The 18,988-nt window shown below is 39.4% G+C and overlaps 1 protein-coding gene and 1 pseudogene across 4 annotated transcripts in view; one reads left to right on the top strand and one right to left on the bottom strand.

Annotated features, from left to right (window-relative positions):
• The window catches only part of ANK2 (ankyrin 2), a 678,115-nt gene that overhangs the window by 574,929 nt on the left and 84,198 nt on the right, over nt 1-18,988 (bottom strand). The window lies entirely within an intron of this gene.
• EIF2S3P2 (EIF2S3 pseudogene 2) lies at nt 10,512-11,758 on the top strand (annotated as a pseudogene).

The raw sequence follows: 18,988 nt of genomic DNA, 5'->3' as shown, positions 1-18,988 counted from the left end.
TGATATATCAGAGTCTATCTCTGAAATAACTATTCCATTGATTTGTCTGTACCAGTGTCATTTTCATTTAATCATTATAGCCTATGTAGTGCTCAACCAACCTTCTCTTTCTAATTTTCAAAGTCATTATTGTCTATTTATTTTTCTAGGTGATTTTTGGAATTTGCCCCCAGCCCCACAAAAATACCACAGGTGTTTCTGTCTTCTTGTTTTCTATTGAGTTTTCATTAAAATTGAATTGGGAAGAATTATCATCCCTACAATACTGACAACTAATACTTAATCCCACTTAAATTTTAAGAGCTGAAGTTTGTATTTCTTCTTTGTATTGTATCATAATTTGCTTTCTTTAAATTCTCCAACCACACTGGTTTTAGTTCTGCTCTCTGGAGTGACATAATATTTGATTACTCCTTCTTTCACATAATGGGAGAGAGTAATTATGCTCCCACTTTATTCAGCCATTTCCTATTTGACATGATTTTTGCTGTCTTCATCATCCTGCTCACCCACTTCCGGATATGCTCCACTTTGTCAATATTTCCTCTTGAAATAGGGAACCCAGATCTAAGGACTCAAGACTCCAAATGTGTGTGGTCTGAGAATCACAAAGAAGTGGGATGACTATTTCCCTTACTCTGGACACTCAGCTGTTATTAATGCAGTGTAGATTTGTATCCCCATGTCTTGGCAGTACTCTTCACTATTGGCTCACATTGAGCTTGCAGTCAACTAAAATCACTAGAACTTTCTCACTGACTGTTCTTAAAATAGACCTTCATTTTCTTGAACATAAGCACATGAATGCTGAATTATTTGTACATAAATGGTTATATAAATCCTGATGAGATTTCATCTTTTCAATATTGGTTTATCATTTCAGCCCAATTATAAATCCCAATTCTATTTTTCAAAGCATTAAAACTTAGTCATCTGCAAATTTAATAAACATGTCTTTTTTTGGTCTCATCCACAGTCTGACAAAGAGCAAAGGGCCAAGTCCTATAACAAAGCAACCAAATGCTGTTTCTGGGGAATTGCCCAAGGCCAGGTTGAAATAGTGGATTTTCAGCATTTCTTTATTAACTAGGAGACCTATGAAAGAAAAGACCAAGGTTTCTTTGATCTCATTCGCTCTTCGTAAACCCAAACTTATTCCTACTGATTATTTCTCCCTAATCTAAGTACTCACAAACCACCTATTTTAAAATTCAGTCTAAATGTTGCTGAGGACTAATGTGAAACCTAAGTATACATCAAAATCCAAATTTTACCCCCTTTCTAAAAACATGGATAAAATTCACCATCATCCAGAACCTTTGCCATTCTCCAGCTCTCCTCAAAGAATAGTAACTGTTCTGCCCATTTTCAGTGTTCTGCCATGTTCTTCCTTACAACCTGAAACTGTGAACTCATTATGAGACTTAAATGCACTTCTGTGACGGTATCTGCATACATGTTTGTCTCCTCAAGCAGATTTTTAGTTCCTTAAAAACAATATGAAATCTTATTCAGTTCAATTCAACTGACACTTAATGAGTTTCAGGTATTTTAATAGCAACCGTGATAGGAAACAGGAAGGCCCCTACAAAAGAATGACAGGAACAGAGTTGCAGCACAGCACAGTGTGCCTAGAGACTAGAAACAGTTCTACACTGCTTAATTGAGATGTATGGAGCAGCAGGACATGAGGATGCAGAGGTAGTTAAAAGAGCACTCCATCAGAGAGGGCCTTGGAAGCCATGCTAATAAACACCAGCTTTATCCGATAGAAGAGAGTTGGAAATGGGCCACCCAAGGCCCAGATTATTCCCCTGAAGACTCATTTTGTGTTCCCAGCACACTCTTAAACAAAGAAAAGAGGATTCCTCAAAAGACTAAAAATGGAACTGCCATAAGACCCAGCAACCTCACTGCTGAGTATACATCCAGAAGAAAGGAAATCAGTGTATATATTTTTTCATTTTTTTCTTTTTTGAAACAAGGTCTCACTCTGTCACCTAGGCTGGAGTACAGTGGCGTCATCACGGCTCACTGCAACCTCAGCCTCCCTGGGCCCAAGTAATCCTCCCACCTCAGCCTCCCCAAGTAGCTGGGACTACAGGCATGCACCACCAACCTGGCTATTTTTTTTATTTTTTGTAGAGACTGGGTCTTGCCATGTTTCCCAGGCTGGTCTCAAACTCCTGAGATCAAGCAATCCTCCTGCCTCAGCCTCCCAAAGCGCTGGGATTACAGGCATGGGCACCACACCTGGCCTGAAATCAGTATATTGTAGAGATATCTGCACTCCCATGTTTATTACAGCACTGTTCACAATAGCCAAGATTTGGAATCAACCTAAGTATTCATCAGTGGATGAATGGATAAAGAAAATGTAGTATATATACACACAGTGGAGTAGCATTCCAGCATAAGAAGAATGAAATGCTGTCATTTGCAACAACATGGATGGAACTGGAGAACATTATGTTAAGTAAAATGAACCAGGCACAGAAAGACAAATTTCACATGTTCTCATTCATACGTGGGAGGTAAAAATTAAAACAATTCAGTGGAGAGTAGAATGATCATTACCAGAGGCTAGGAAGGGTAGTGTGAGGGGGAGAAATGTGGCGATGGTTAATGGGTGCAAAAATATATTTAGAGAGAATAAGATCTAGTTTTGATAACACAATAGGGTTACTATAATCAACAATAATTTATGGTATATTTTTAAATAACTAAAAGAGAGGAATGTTGGAATGTTTCTAACACAAACAAATGATGAATGCTTGTGATAATGAATACCCTGGTTACTCTGATGTGATTATTACACATTGTATGCCTGTATCAAAATATCACATCTACCCCATAAATATATACACCTATTTTGTACTCATAATAATTAAAGGCTTAAAAATTTTAAAATGAAGATACAAAAGTCTGCATGTGGCCGGGCGCAGTGGCTCATGCCTGTAATACCAGCACTTTGGGAGGCCAAGGCAGGTGGATCACGAGGTCAGGAGTTCGAGCCTGACCAACATAGTGAAACACTGTCTCTACTAAAAATACAAAAATTAGCCAGGCGTGGTGGCATGCGCCTGTAATCCCAGCTACTCAGGAGGCTGAGGCAGGAGAATCGCTTGAACCCGGGAGGCAGAGGTTGCAGTGAGCCAAGATCACCCCATTGCACTCCAGCCTGGGCAACAGAGTGAGACTCGGTCTTAAAAAAAAAAAAAAAAAAAAATCTGCATGCCTATCTGCTTTGTCACAGTCCCTACACCCTTGTTTTACACCACCCCAGGAACATTGGCTCTTGAAAAAATGAACCCTTGTCTAGCTTATTTACGACAGTGCCTAGATCAGTGCCTGGTGCATAGCGAGCACAAAAAATGATCTGTTGACTGACTTGTTGGCCTGGCCCATTTTGGTTCATGTTACCTGGTACAAAGGTAGGCAACCAATAACAACTGCCGCAAATACTTCTGGTTTCCTCTCATTTCATAAAAATGTATGAAGCTTAAGTTTTAAAATTTCATTTTTTTAAAGAATTTCCCATTTCTCTGGCACCTGCTTGTCTTTCAACATCCTCATGATGCAATTATACGTGTCTTTCATTTGACTTTTTGAGGCCTAATTTTCCTACAAACAGTGGTCTGACTCAGCCCAGCCCTCCTTTCCGTGGCTACTTCGCATTCAGGGATGATCTGGTCACATCCTTCCTCAGTGCTAGTCACTTCTACATCTCCAACCTATTCTTCCTGGGTGTTCAGAATAAAGTTCTGATTAACTGTTCTTATTGGTTCTTCACCACTCTGTGAGGCACAATTTTTGTGTCCAGGTTGCAATTTTGTTTCTTTTTTTGAGAAGGGGTCACAATTCATCAGCCAGGCTAGAGTGCAGTGGCACAATCATGGCTCACGACAGCCTTGAACTCCAGGGCTCAAGCAATCCTCCCGCCTCAGCCTCCAGAGTATCTAGTATTACAGGTGCGTGTGCCACCATGCCTGGCTAGTTTTTTGTTTGTTGTTGTTGTAGAGACAGGGTCTTGCTGTGTTGCCGAGATGAGTCTTGAACTCCTGGCCTCAAGCAATCTCCTGCCTCACATGTTCCAGTTTATATTTGCATTTATATTTGGAAAATATCATCCATGTCCTCTATATGGGTCTTGAATTCTTGGCTTCAAGCAATCCTCCCACCTCACATGTTACAATTTATATTTAGAAAATATCATCCAAGTCCTCGATATCTTCTGGCATTCTATAACAAGCTCCCTCAATGAGTTACATTGTGTTTTGTTCTCATGTTATCTATATGCAAATGCTCATCACTCTCAATTTCCTCAATTTTTGTCCAAGGAGGTAGCTTCTTGAAATGCAGTGCTAATGCCACCATAGCCCTGTCCCTTCATACACTCATTCATATGCTCATAAATAGAAAATCAAACAACTATACCATCAGAGCTGCTTCTCTTGAATAAAGTATTGTTTTAAAAACTGTGAGATTGGCCGGGCACGGTGGCTCACGCCTGTAATCCCAGCACTTTGGGAGGCCGAGGTGCGCAGATCACAAGGTCAGGAGATCGAGACCATCCTAGCTAACACGGTGAAACCCCGTCTCTACTAAAAATACAAAAAAAATTAGCCAGGCATGGTGGCAGGCGCCTGTAGTTCCAGCTACTTGGGAGGCTGAGGCAGGAGAATGGTGTGAACCCAGGAGGCGGAGGTTGCAGTGAGCCGAGATCGCGCCACTGCCCTCCAGCCTGGGTGACAGAGCGAGACTCCATCTCAAAAAAAGAAAAAAAAAAAAAACCGTGAGATTGGTCATACATCAATGATTATAAAAGCTGCAATGTATATAAGGGGCTTCATTATACTATTCTCTCTATTACACTATTTGGCTATAAAGGGCTTCATTATATTATTCTCTGTCTATTATACTATTTGGAAATTTAAATATTAAAAATACTTTTTAACTCTTTGCAAAATTGTCATTTTATTTATTTATTCAACAAACATCCACTGATCAAACATGCTAAACAATACAGAGATTAAGACATAGTCTCTATATATGGTTACCAAATAAAATACAAGAGGCCTGCCTTGTTGAATTTGAATTTAGATAAACAATAGTATATTTTTTAGTGTATGTATGTTCCATGCAATATTCGAGATATTTATTCTCTCACAATTCTGCACGTAGAAATTCTGAAATCAGTTTCACAGGGTTGAGATCAAGATGTCGACAGGATTGTGCTCCCTCCAGAAGCTCTAGAGGGAGAATCTGCTCCTGCCTCTTCCAGCTTCCGGTGGCAGCCAACATTCTTTGACTTGTGACCGCATCCATTACTCCAGTCTTCAAGGCTTCCATTTTCAAATCACGATCTACTCCTCCTTTCCCTAGCCTTCTCTTCTGTGCTTGTGTCAAACTGCCCTTCTGCCTGCCTCCTATAAAGGCACTTGCCTATCGCTTATAAAGTAGGCTTTTAGGGCCCATCTGGATAATCCAATATAATCTTGCCATATCAAGATCCTTAATCACATTTGCGAAGACCCTTTTCCAAGTAAGGTAACATTTAAGGGTTCCTGGAATTAGGACCTGATACCTTGAGGACCATTATTCAGGCTACTATAGATGCTATATAGATAACTACTACTATATAACTACTACTATGATAGATATTCTCGAGGGAATACTGGAGAAACTTGAAAGGAGATCAAGGAAGAGGCAGATGTCGAGACAGTCTTCCTAAATCAGTGGTGTCAGAGAATATAAATCACTAAAAGCAGCAGTTATAACAACAGCCAGTAATCAGACCAATCAGAACAGACACAGGCTATAAATAACCACTGCAGCCTACCAGTGAGTACCAGTTGAGCATCAGTCTTGATAAGAGATGTAATGTTGGATGCTTGCTACAGAAGAATAAATAAGAAGTAGCAACTGGATGACAAAAATCATTTGCACACGATTCCTAACATATCACCTCGGGAGGAATCATGGGCAGGAAGATTGCCCCATATAGTTTGAGGCGTATCGTTTTTGTTTTTGTTTTTGTTTTAACTCCTATGTTGTCTATATTGCTCTTCAAAAAAAGTCTACATTGCCTGTCACTTCAAGTATTTTTTCAACCCAATTTACTCAAAATTTCTACTCAATTATTTACTTAATAATTTTAATTTTTTCATAAAAGTAAGTTGCTTTGTGCAAAAACAGCATAGCAATATAAGGTTATATAAAGGAATAATGCCCCTCTCCTCCACCTAATCCCACTTCCCAGAGATAAGCACATCAACAGATACATCAAGGACTTTATCTGTGAACATGTAAATTTGCATATTTAAAATATAAATACATATATTGAAATGAATGGGAAGGAGCAAGCATTATGCTGCTGGTGGAAAATGATAAAACAGTGCACCCTCAGCCGGTTATGCTCCCAAGAAGCAGCAAGCTGCATGCTCCTTCCTTTTGTACTTTTTGGATCCAATTCCACAGGAAATATCTCTAATTCATTAATTCTTAATTCCACAGTGGCATCCTAAAGGAGGATTGGCAAGAAGAGCAGCAATTCAAATATGAACAACAGTGTCCTCCAATCTCCCTCTAAACTTTCCACCCTGCAAGCCTCCTCAGTTGTTGCACAAATACCTCAAATCTAAACCACCTAAAATTGAACTTGTCATCTTCCTCAAGAAACCTGCCACTCCTCCTGTTTCTCCATCTCACCTAGTAGCCAAACCGGAAACCAGGAAGTGACCCTTTTCCCCCACATCCTATAACAACAAAAGTCACCAGATCCTGGAAAATATCACACAAATTTATAAATTTTTCTCATTACTGAATTACTGCAAAAAAAAAAAATCATGAATGGTCTACCAGACCTTCACCTCACCCTCCCCTTAATCATACTCTGTACCGTAGCTAGAGTTATCTTTCCAGAACATAAATTTCATTATGATACACCTTTCTTCAACTGCTTTAATGGATCTTCATTGCTCTCAAAATAGAGTCCTGAAGAGGGTTTATAACATCCTAGTTGAGAGTGCACCTGCTATCTCTCTGCTTCATCTCTTACCCTCACAATCTGATCTCAAACCACACTCATCTTTTTTTATTTTCCTAATTTTGCATGCTTACCCATGCTAGAACTCTCTATGTACTGTTTTTTCCAAGAAAGACTTTTCTTTTTCTTTACTTAGCTGACTCCCATTCAATTCACAGGTTTTAACTTAGTTATCAGCTCCTCCAGGAAGCCTTGCCCTAATCCCCTTAGCCTAAGTTAGGGGTCTCTTTTTGTGTAACCACAGCATCCTGTGCCTTCTCTGTCAATTATAATTGCCTATTCACTTGTCTCCCACCACCACTAGACCACAGGATCAGTTCACCTTTGTATTATCAGGACAAAGCACAGTAATAAGGACATGGTAGGATCTCAATAAATAGTTGTTAAGTAAGTACAAAGAGTAATGCAGATCCTCAGGAGCAAAGCACTGTGTATACATTTATCTTCAGGAAGGCAGTTCAGTGCATGGCTTTGCTATAATGAACAAAATGATATCATGATTTTTACAGCATTTTGTTGACTATTGAGGAACAATTTGCATTTAAGACACATAAATCCCACACACAAAAAATAAGCCCATTCTCCCCACCTCTATAGGAAGGAAATCAGACTATGATTCAGTTGTCAATGTATGCCCTCCTCATTCTGAATTCACACAGAAGGCAGAAGCAGTAATGTCACTATAGAGTTAACTGACTACCTTGGTGTCCTACATAATTCTGTCATTACCATAGTGCAATGAATAGCTCTCAGCTTTGCAGGTTCAGAAGCTCAATTTTATTACTTCATTTAAAAATGAAAAGCCAGCCGGGTGCAGTGGCTCCTGTCTGTGATCCCAGCACTTTGGGAGGTCGGGGTGGGTGGATTACCTGAGGTCAGGAGTTCGAGACCACCCTGGCCAACATGGTGAAACCCGTCTCTACTAAAAATACAAAAAATTAGCTCGCTGCATTGGCGGGCACCTGTAATCCCAGCTACTCGGGAGGCTGAGACAGGAGAATCGCTTGAACCTGGGATGCGGAGGTTGCAGTCAGCCAAGATTGCGCCTGCACTCCAGCCTGGGGAACAAGAGCGAAACTCCATCTCAAAAAAGAAAAGAAAAGCCAGTGAGGCTGACTTTCTCAAAAGGGGTTCTTAATTTGAACACAGAGCACAAAAAATTGAGTGACTATTTCTCAATTCTCCCAACGCTGGCAAATAACTGGTACCATTCTAGACGCAGAGAGAAGTTAATTCATTACATGCAATGAATACCTTACAGCTATTAGGACTTATTTCACTCCCAGAACTCCAGAGGGCCTGAATCATATGAAGTAAATTCCTGTGAGGTATAAATATATCATACACACACACATACACACACACGCTAGATTTGTACTATATCTCACTATACTAGTATATATACTAATTGGTAAAAGAAAATGCATATAGGCAAAACTAGAATACAGTAGCATTGCTAATCATAATGTGGGTTGAAAAAATGTAGTCTGAAGAGTGGAAGGGTTAGGTGTTTTTAAAGGATACTTTAATTGGCCTATCATATCCTGCTGACTCAGCCTTCTTCCCTTGAGAGAGGCCAGAATATGAACTCTTGGAGAGAAGGAACGACATTTGTCGTGACTCCACATTTTGCCGAAATTTGAACTCCTAATAATTAACATCGTGCATGGCATATACTCCATTTCATTGACCCAATGAATGGATGGATGAATAAGCTGTGTTATATTGCTTCCTAGATTATTTTCTATAGGTAGTTAATTTTACATGTGGTGTGTGGATTCTTGTTCATTCTTTCAACAAGAACCTTCTATGTGAGTGAATCCTAGGCTAGGAACTGAGACAGGTTATGTGTTGTATATCAGAATTCATGTTATTAAGGATTAATCTACTGCTTTACACATTTTAGTCATTATTTACAAAAAAAAAAAAAAAAAAAGAGGTGGGCTGGGCGCGGTGGCTCACTCCTGTAATCCCAGCACTTTGGAAGGCTGAGGCGGGCGGATCACCTGAAGGCAAGAGTTACAAGACCAGCCTGGCCAACATGGCAAAACCCTGTCTCTACTAAAAATACAAAAGTTAGCCAGAAATGGTGGTGTGCGCCTGTAATCCCAGCTACTAGAGAGGCTGAGGCAGGAGAATCGCTTGAATACAGGAAGCGGAGGTTGCAGTGAGTCAAGATCCTGCCACTGCACTCCAGCCGGGGTGACACAGCGAGACTTCATCTCAAAAAAATAAAAATAAAAATAAAAATAAATAAATAAAAATTTTAAAAGAAAGGAAAAAATGTTGGAGAGGACGTAAAGTTGGAACTCTTGTAAACTGCTGGTAGAAATATAAAATGGTGCCACTACCCTAGAAAACAGTACAGAGGTTCCTCAAAAATTAAAAATGGAATTACAATATGATCCAGCCATTCCATTTATGGGCACATACCAGAAAGAATCGGAAGCAGGCACTCGAACAGGTGTCTGTGTACCCATGTTCATGCAGCATTATTCACAATAGCCATTTGCCCATTGAAGCAACCCAAGTGTCCTTCAATGGGCAAAAAGATAAAACAAAATATGGTACATACATACAATGGAACGTTATTTAGCTTTACAAAGGAAGGAAATTCTAACACCTGCTACATTGTGGATGAATCTTGAAGACGTTATACTAAGCAAAATAAGCCAGTCACAAAAGGACAAATAGTGTGACTCCATTTACATGAGGTACCTAAAGTAGTCAAACTCATACAGACAGAAAGCAAATGGTGGTTGCCAGGGACTGGGGGATAGGGAATTATTTTTTAATGGGTATGGAATTTCAGTTTTGCAAGATGAAAAAAGATCTGGAGACAGATAGTGGTAATGGTTGCACAACACTGTGAATGTACTTAATGCCACTGAACTGTACACTTTAAAATGGTTAAAATGAGCTCCACGCCAGGGGCTCTAGGCACCATCAGACCTACCATGGACAAGCCAAGACAATGGTACCAACCTGAGTAAGATAGATGGCCAGTCCTGGCACTACCACACCCTTGTGCTACACCAGTGGGGCTAAAGAAACCATGCTATGCATGAGGATGTTACTGAGTGGACTCTACTTTTACACAAAGTTATCAAGCAGATGAGCCACAACTAATACAGGTACAATTGATCATGTTGCTCATAGAAAATCCATAACTGTGGCCAGGCGCGGTGGCTCATGCCTGTAATCCCAGCACTTTGGGAGGCCGAGGCGGGAGGATCACCTGAGGTTGGGAGTTCAAGACCAGCCTTGCCAACATGGAGAAACCCCATCTCTACTAAAAGTACAAAATTAGCCGGGGTGGTGGTGCATGCCTGTTATTCCAGCTACTCAGGAGGCTGAGGCAGGAGAATCGCTTGAACCCGGGAGGCGGAGGTTGCAGTGAGCTGACATCATGCCATTGCACTCCTGGGCAACAAAAGAGAAACTCTGTCTCAAAAAAAAAAGAAAATCCATAATTGTAAAAACTATTTCTGTCATTCACATGTCAGGTTCAAAAATGAACTGTAAAGAAATATTACTATCAAGTTTGGACACATTAAATGCCAAGATTATAAACTCGATGACTCAAGTTTCCTCGGCCAGAATATTACAGATTCTGTGGAAGTAGTACACCTTGATGAGTTTCCTATAAATATTCCAGGGACCAAAAGAAACTTTGAACTAGTCAGACATGTTTCCTTGGTTGACTGTCCTGCCATGATATTTTGATGGCTACTTTGATGAACGGTATAGCAGTGATGGATGTGACCTTTCTGTTGATAGCCGGCAAAGAATCTTGTCCTCAACCTCAGACTCCTCTGAACACCTGGCTGCCATAGATATTATGAAGCTGAAACATACTTTCATTCTGTAAAATAAAATTAATTTGGTAAAAGAAAGTAAGGCTAAAGAACAGTATGAACAGATCCTTTCATTGTATTAATATAAAGTAGAGTAGCAGAAGAGCCTCCTATTATTTTCATTTCTGCTAAGCTGAAATACAATCTTGAAGTTGTCCGTGAGTATATAGCAAGGAAAATTTCAGTACCTCCAAGAGACTTTACTTCAGAACCCCAACTTATTGTTATTAGGTCGTTTGATGTTAACGAACCTGGCTGTGATATTGATGATATTACCAGGGAGAACAACTGGTGGCAGTATTTAAAAAGGTGTATTAAAGGTGGTCCAGGAGACAGGAGTCAGACTTGGTATTGTTCCCAAAAATAGTGAAGGAAAACTCATGTGTAAAACAATCATTTCCAAACTTGTATCACTTTTTGCAGAATACAATGATCCTCAGTACACTGCTCCAGGGAGTCTTACGGGAGTTGGAACAAAAATTTACCCAACATTCATAGAATGGCCGGGCAGGTGCTTGGTGCAGTTGGAGCTGTACCTAAGATCGTCACAGGACCAGAAATGTCCTATTTACTGCTTAGACAGCTCTAGGTGTATGTATAGAAGAAGGCAAAAAAACAGAAAAAGTACAAAAGCTGTCCATGAGCAAAGTTCTTATAGTAAACATACGATCTCTGTCTACAGGAAGAAGAGAGTGCAGTCAAAGATGATTTGGGTAAAATAGTTCTCACTAATCCTGTGTGCACAAAAGTAGGAGAAAAAAATTGCCCTTAGCCAAAGAGCTGAGAAACATTAGCATTTAATTCGTTGGGATCAGATAGAAGAGGAGTGGCCATGAAGCCAACAGTAGATGACAAGTGAAGAATTACAGTTAAATAACACAGTTGGGCAAACTCAGAATTTCTCTTAGTAACCTGAGGGTATATTTTCAAAGCCAAATGAGGGAATACATTTCACAGCTCATTACCTTTGTAGAAACTGTCAGGTGATCCTCACTTTTTGTGATGAAAATTTAACTTCTTCTACTTAAAGAGTTGGATATATAATAATGTCAAAAATGGTATGTTGATCAATTTAATATACATTTTAGCAGACATTGATCATTGTTAAACACTTTCAGATTTGTACTTCAATGAGCTTTGAAATGAAACTGCTTGTTACAACAGGCCTTTGTTGTATCACACATACCACTGTACCTATTTGAAATAAAGTTTTTATTTTAAAAAAGAAAAGAAAAAAAAAAAAAAAAGAAGGTGGCCAGACATGGTGGCTCATGTCTGTAGTCCTAGAACTTTGGGAGGCCAAAGTGAGAGGATTGCTTGAGGCCAGAAGTTCGAGACCAGCCTGAACAACATGGTGAGAACCCGTCTCTATTTAAGTTAAAAAAAATTTAATAGTTAAAAAGGTAAGTTTTATGATATGTATGTGTGTGTGTGTGTATATATATAGATAGATATATAGATATATAGATATTTTTTTTTGAGACGGAGTTTCGCTCATGTTGCCCAAGCTGGAGTGCAATGACACAATCTCGGTTCACCGTAACCTCCACCTCCTGACTTCAAGCAATTCTCCTGCCTCAGCCTCCCGAGTAGCTGGGATTACAGGCATGCACCACCACATCTGGCTAGTTCTGTATTTTTAGTAGAGATGGAGTTTCTCCATGTTGGTCAGGCTGATCTTGAACTCCCAACCTCAGGTGATTTGCCCACCTAGCCTCCCAAAGTGCTAGGGTTACAGGTGTGAGCCACCACACTCAACCACGATATGTATATTTTATCACAATTTTTTTAAAAATTCATCTCAGCCAGGTGCTGTGGCTCATGCTTGCAATTCCAGAACTTTGGGAGGCTGAGGCAGGTGGACCACTTGAGTCCAGGAGTTGGAGACCAGCCTGGCCAACATAGTGAAACTCCATCTCTACAAAAAATACAAAAATTAGCTGGGCATGGTGGTGTACACCTATAGTCCCAGCTACTCCCAGAGTCTGAGATGCAAGGATCACCTGAGCTGGGGAGGTTGAGGATGCAGTGAGCCATGATCACACCACTGCACTCCAGCCTGGGCAACAGAGTGACAACCTGTCTCAAAAAAAAAAAAAAATGCTGGGCACAGTGGCTCACGCCTGTAATCCCAGCACTTTGGGAGGCTGAGGCAGGTGGATCACGAGGTCAGGAGCTTGAGACCAGCCTGGCCAACATTGTGAAACCCCATCTCTACTAAAAAAACAAAAATTAGCCAGGTGTGGTGGCAGGCACCTGTAATCCCAGCTGCTCAGGAGGCTGAGGCAGGAGAATCACTTGAACCCAGGAGGCAGAGGTTGCAGTGGGCCGAGATCGCACCACTGTACTCCAGCCTGAGGGACAGAGCGAGACTCCATCTCGGAAAATAAAAAAAATTTAATCTAGTTCTCCTTTCTAATCCTGTACCTGGATCTTGACATTTATCTAACTTTAGGGTCTGTAGGTCTTGTTCATCTTTCATTGAGAGAAATATTTATACACTTTACCTGAGCACTGAGACTCTGTGAGCAACTGGGGCCACTCTTGGGTTACCTTTCCCTGGAACGAAGGGCTAGTTATCATCATGTCAAGTCTCTGAGTAATATATCCAAACATGAATATCCCAGGAATCTAGTTTAACTGGATTTACACTGAAGTTAGAGTGGGTGTTAGGGATGGGGCACAGTGGAGAGTGGTAATCTCAATCTCTCTTCTACATTTATTGGAAAATAACATCCACAGATAAGATGGCTTCTGGGATTGTCCAGTGCTCTCTGTCCCTACTTCTATTATTGCAAAGTTTAGTCTCCAAAGGAATCCAAAAGAAGTCAAATTAGATTTGTAGGGGAGAGAGAGAAAATTAAAAATTATGCAGCATGTACCAGATACTGCTATTGTTGCTTGACATTCATTACCTCATTTGATTTTCATAACAAACATGTTATCATCTTTGGACTAGGAGACAAATCTAGTTATTTTCTGACTCCATAGCCCAGGCTCATTCTATTCTATTACGCTCACAGTTGCCTAGAGTCCATTTCTGTCACTGCCTCCTCCTGGAAAAAGCGGTGTTACCCTAAAATCAAAAATCTATAGCCAAACTTTTATGTTGGCAGGCAAATGAGACTCCTGGCAGCAAGTTTACTCTTTGATGAAAGCACTTAATACTGATTCCCTGTTAAAATAGTTTGGGGAGAAGGGAGAGAAGGGGGAATGGCAGAAGAAAGTGCTTCTTTATCTCTGCATTCAGTACCTCCCTTGGCTCAAAAAATAAAACAGAGCAACAAACTCATATAGATGAAAGAAATTAAACTTGATGCCTGAAAATCACTAAGCATAAATTTAGGCTTATATATTGTACTTTGCTACAAACAAACTAGACCTTTTTGACTTAATCATACCTAAATTGCTTTTCCAGGAGTATTGGTCATGGGATTATTTCGCTTTATTAGCTAGGAATAGACAAAGCAATAAACAAATAAGATAACTACATACTCTGCTTCTATCAATCACTTAATCAACTATCTCCCAACAAATGATCTGATTCTTCTTCCAAGCAAGAAGACTTGTCTATCAAAATACTACTTTAAGGACATCAAATCCTTACAAATAAAATCTTAATACACATCAACAAATTTTATAAGACATCCAAGTTAGAAATCCATGCAAATAAACTATTAACTGCATGAAAACTTTCCAAAGGATTTTCATAATCTTTTATAGCTTATCTTAAATTGAAATTCACATTTTGTCACAAAAGCACTTCAGAGTTCTGTGTTTGCATTGTAAAATGTCTTCTGACACACTGGATTGGGGTAAAGTCAACAATTAGTTACTCTATAAACCAAATAAAATGTGATTATGGGGTGCTGAGGAGCTGCTTGTTACTCAATGGAGAAAATTATTGGCTGGGCACAGTGGCTCACGCCTGTAATCCCAGCACTTTGGGAGGCCGAGGCAGGCAGATCACTTGAGTTCAGGAGTTCCAGATCCTGGACAACATGGTGAAACCCCATCTCTACCAAAAAAAATAGCCAAGTGTGGTGGCACGTGCCTGTTGTCCCAGCTACTCGGGAGGTTGAGGTGGGAGAATCATTTGAACCTTGGAAGCAAAGGTTGCAGTGAGTCCAGATTGCACCACTGCATTCCAGCCTGGGCGACAGAGTAAGACCCTGTCTCAAAAAAAAAAAAAAAAAGAAAAGAAAATTATTTTATTTCTATCTGAGCTTTAGTTTTCTCATTTATAAAAGACAGTATATAACAAAATCATCTCTTAGTACATTTCAGTCTTTAAGTTTCTATCATTTGGTTATTCAGTAATATGATAAACCAAAATATAAAATAATTCCTATCTAATTGTTAGTATGTAATGACATAATGAGACAAAATTATTAACAGGGGTTTTCAGAGTAAATAACAATGATAAAATCTACTTCTCTTATTACTACTTTTCTAAATTATTATTTGATAACTAATATGCCTTAGTATCATTAAATTCTCTGAAAAATATAAATATTATTCTGGTCTTTCATATAACTAATTTCACATTAAAACCTTAATTTCTTAAAGAAACACATTTAGATTTGCCTTTTTTTTATTAGTGCAAATTTATGGGGTACATGTGCAATTCTGTTACATACATAGGTGCATGTAGCAATCTAATAATGGTCAAGTCAGCGCTTTTAAAAACCTTTACTTATTTACAATTTGTTTTAATTTCTTTGACAAAATGATTTAACAAACGGCATCACAAGATCTAAAAATTTAATTTTAAGTTTTTCTTGCATTTTTAATACCTATAAGTTTTTAATAGTATAAATTGAGGTTCTCCTTGAAGTAAACCACATTCTTCTGGTTTTATTTTAAAATTTTGGATCGAAAGGAATTGTAAGTTTATATTATCCAAAAAAGAAAAAAGAAATGTAGTTTTGAGGTAGCAGATGGGAGGTTTAAAAATAATGCACTCATTTCCAAAAGATGCTATAATAAGCATGTTTCAGCTTTATAATAAAACAACAATAAAAGAAATAGCACACCATGCAAATAAAATTCACATCTTCCTTTATAATAGGGCAAAATTTTTCTATCCTTCTCCTTTCTTTGGGGTCTATGTTTCTCCATGTTTCTAAAATAGAAGTAACTCAACTAAGCAGGGAAGATGGAAAATTATAGAATGTGTAGCATCTCTGTATTTCTTACATACCTTGTATCAGATGAAATTAGTTTCTCATAAACCTTGTATCTGACAAAATATTTTTCTGCTATAGTTATATAAAATATTTATTTTTATGAGACCCACAGTAAACACCAAGCACCTAAAATGACAACCATCCTTCCCTAGTAACCATTTTATAGTTATCAACAATGCTGATCATTGTAGACTGTGGATCCTCTTTAATACTAAAAGGATTCAAATTCCATGGCAATACTACTTGTACAGTAAGAATGCTTTCAAATCCTTCAAATGTTTAGTTGTCACTAGGTCCAATTCTGATATCCTGCCTGATGCAAAATTTACATCAGTGCCTACTAAAAAAGGAACTAAATATAAGGATGTGTTGTCGCAGGGCACGGTGGTTCACACCTGTAATCCCAGCACTTTGGGAGGCTGAGGTGGGCGGATAGCCTGAGGTCAGGAGTTCGAGACCAGCCTGACCAACATGGAGTAACCCTGTCTCTATTAAAAACACAAAATTACCCAGGTGTGGTGGCGCATGCCTGTAATCCCAGCTACTCGGGAGGCTGAGGCAGGAAAATCACTTGAACCCAGGAGGCGGAGGTTGCAGTGAGCCGAGATTGCACCATTGCACTCCAGCCTGGGCAACAAGAGCAAAACTCCGTCTCAAAAAAAAAAAAAAAAAAAAAAAAAGAAAGGATGTGTTGAAGAACAAAATAAAATGTGGTTTATGTTCTGTAAAAGTAGTTACCAGCATCTACTAACATACAATCTATCTGTAATGTTATTAGGAACTTGTCTTTTAAAGAACCAATATACATATATTCCCTTTATTTCTGTTACTCATAAAGATGTGGGAATTCTATCCAAGTAGATTTTAATATTTTTACTTCTTTTATCTAACAAAGTATAGGCTGCTTTAGAAGTAAGAGGCTAGGCTGGGCGCGGTGGCTCACGCCTGTAATCCCAGCACTTTGGGAGGCCGAGGTGGGCGGATCACAAGTCTAGGAGATGGAGACCACCCTGGCTAACACGGTGAAACCCCGTCTCTACTAAAAATACAAAAAAAAATTAACTGGGCGTGGTGGCGGGTGCCTGTAGTCCCAGCTACTCAGGAGGCTGAAGCAGGAGAATGGTGTGAACCCGGGAGGCGGAGCTTGCAGTGAGCTAAGATCGCGCCACAGCACTCCAGCCTGGGCAACAGAGCCAGACCCTGTCTCAAGAAAAAAAAAAAAAAAAAAAAAAAAGAAGAAGAAGAAGAAGTAAGAGGCTTTCTTTACCTCCACCTTGATTTTCCAACATTTGTGATCTTGGTTCCTAAGATGCTCCTAGAAAAAGGTGAAACCTTTTTACGAATATGTACCCCTATATATGCTGCTCAAAAATCTACAGCTTTACCTTGCTCCTTCAGACTCAAGAAAACTTTGAGGTCATCTGGGCAATCCTCTCCTACTGTGGGAATCTCCTCTACAATATTCCAGACAGGTGGCTCACCAGCTTCTGCTTAAAGACTCCAAGCACAGGGTCCTCCCTGCTTCACAAGGTGTCCAATTCCACTCTCATATGTTAGAAAGTTCTTATTTTAAGGAGATATCTACTTCCTGCTGCCTCCACCCAGTAATCCAACTTCTGCCTTCTGAAGCCACATGAAATAAACTTAACTCCTCTTGTCAATAGAATTTTTCTTCAAATAAAGAGATGCAGATATTTTCACAATTCTTCCCATATCCTTTGAGCACTGTCTTTCTTAGACAAGTGCTCAAATTTATCAAAACCCTCTTTAAAACTGGGAGCTAGAAAGACTGCTCAAATACTCTGTAAGATTGAATGATACAGGGACATTATATTTTACTGAATTAGTCCTCATGTAACATTTCCCAGAAGAAAAGCTACTTTTTATTTCTCCCCACCTTTGAAGCCCCTTAAGAAAGGAACAGTTGGGCAGGGTGTGATGGCTCACGCCTGTAATCCCAGCACTTTGGGAGGCCGAGGTGGGTGGATCGCTTAGTCCAGGAGTTCGAGACCAGCCTGGTCAATATGGTAAAACACTATCTGTACTGAAAATACAAAAATTAGCCGGCGTGGTGGCATGCACATGTAATCCCAGCTACTTGGGAAGCTGAGGCCGGAGAAATTGCTTGAACCCAGGAGGCAGAGGTTGCAGTGAGCCATGATCACACCACTGCACCCCAGCCTGGGCGACAGAGCAAAACTCCATCTCAAAAAAAAAAAAAAAAAAAAAGAAAAGAAAAGTTAATGGGGCCCCTGACTAGAAAGAAAGACCTTCTGTGAGTCCCCTCACTCTGCTAGAAATCCGGTCATCCGGCTCAGAAATCAACAAGGTAGACTTCAGGATTAATTGGTTGGAGCCCTGATATTTCATGAAGACAAATTAGTACATTATCAAGCACAGATTATTTTTATTGACTAGTGGTCATTTTAATAAACAAAGAATCCACTAATTCCTTCTTATAAGTAGAAGTTAATTTAATATTTTATCACCTTTCTTATTTCCAAAAATGTCTAAATCAGTCTTCTCTTATTTATTCTCTTTTTTCCACAATGACAAACTATGTAGTCCACTATAGCAAGCTATCTCTACCATATAGAAGAAATGAAATCTAATCCTTTTGGTACCTGGGGAGCTCCTCAGTGAATCCTTTGCTATCACCATCTTGGATAACTCTCTAATGCTGCTTCCAAAAAGGCAGTGGTTGCTCCATTTTACAATCCCACCAACAAGGGTTCCAATTTCTCCACATTCTCACCAACACTGGTTATTTTCTGGTGTGTATGTTTTTGGTTTTGTTTTTATTTTAATAGTAGCCATCCTAACAGATATAAGGTGATATTTCGTTTTGGTTTAGTTTCACATTTCTCTGATGCAAAGAGAGAGAGGTTTTGCCT

This window comes from Homo sapiens, chromosome 4 (assembly GCF_000001405.40).
Source record: "Homo sapiens chromosome 4, GRCh38.p14 Primary Assembly".
Taxonomy (NCBI): domain Eukaryota; kingdom Metazoa; phylum Chordata; class Mammalia; order Primates; family Hominidae; genus Homo; species Homo sapiens.
Note: the sequence above shows the minus strand (reverse complement) of the source record. Positions and strands in the feature narration are given on the sequence as shown.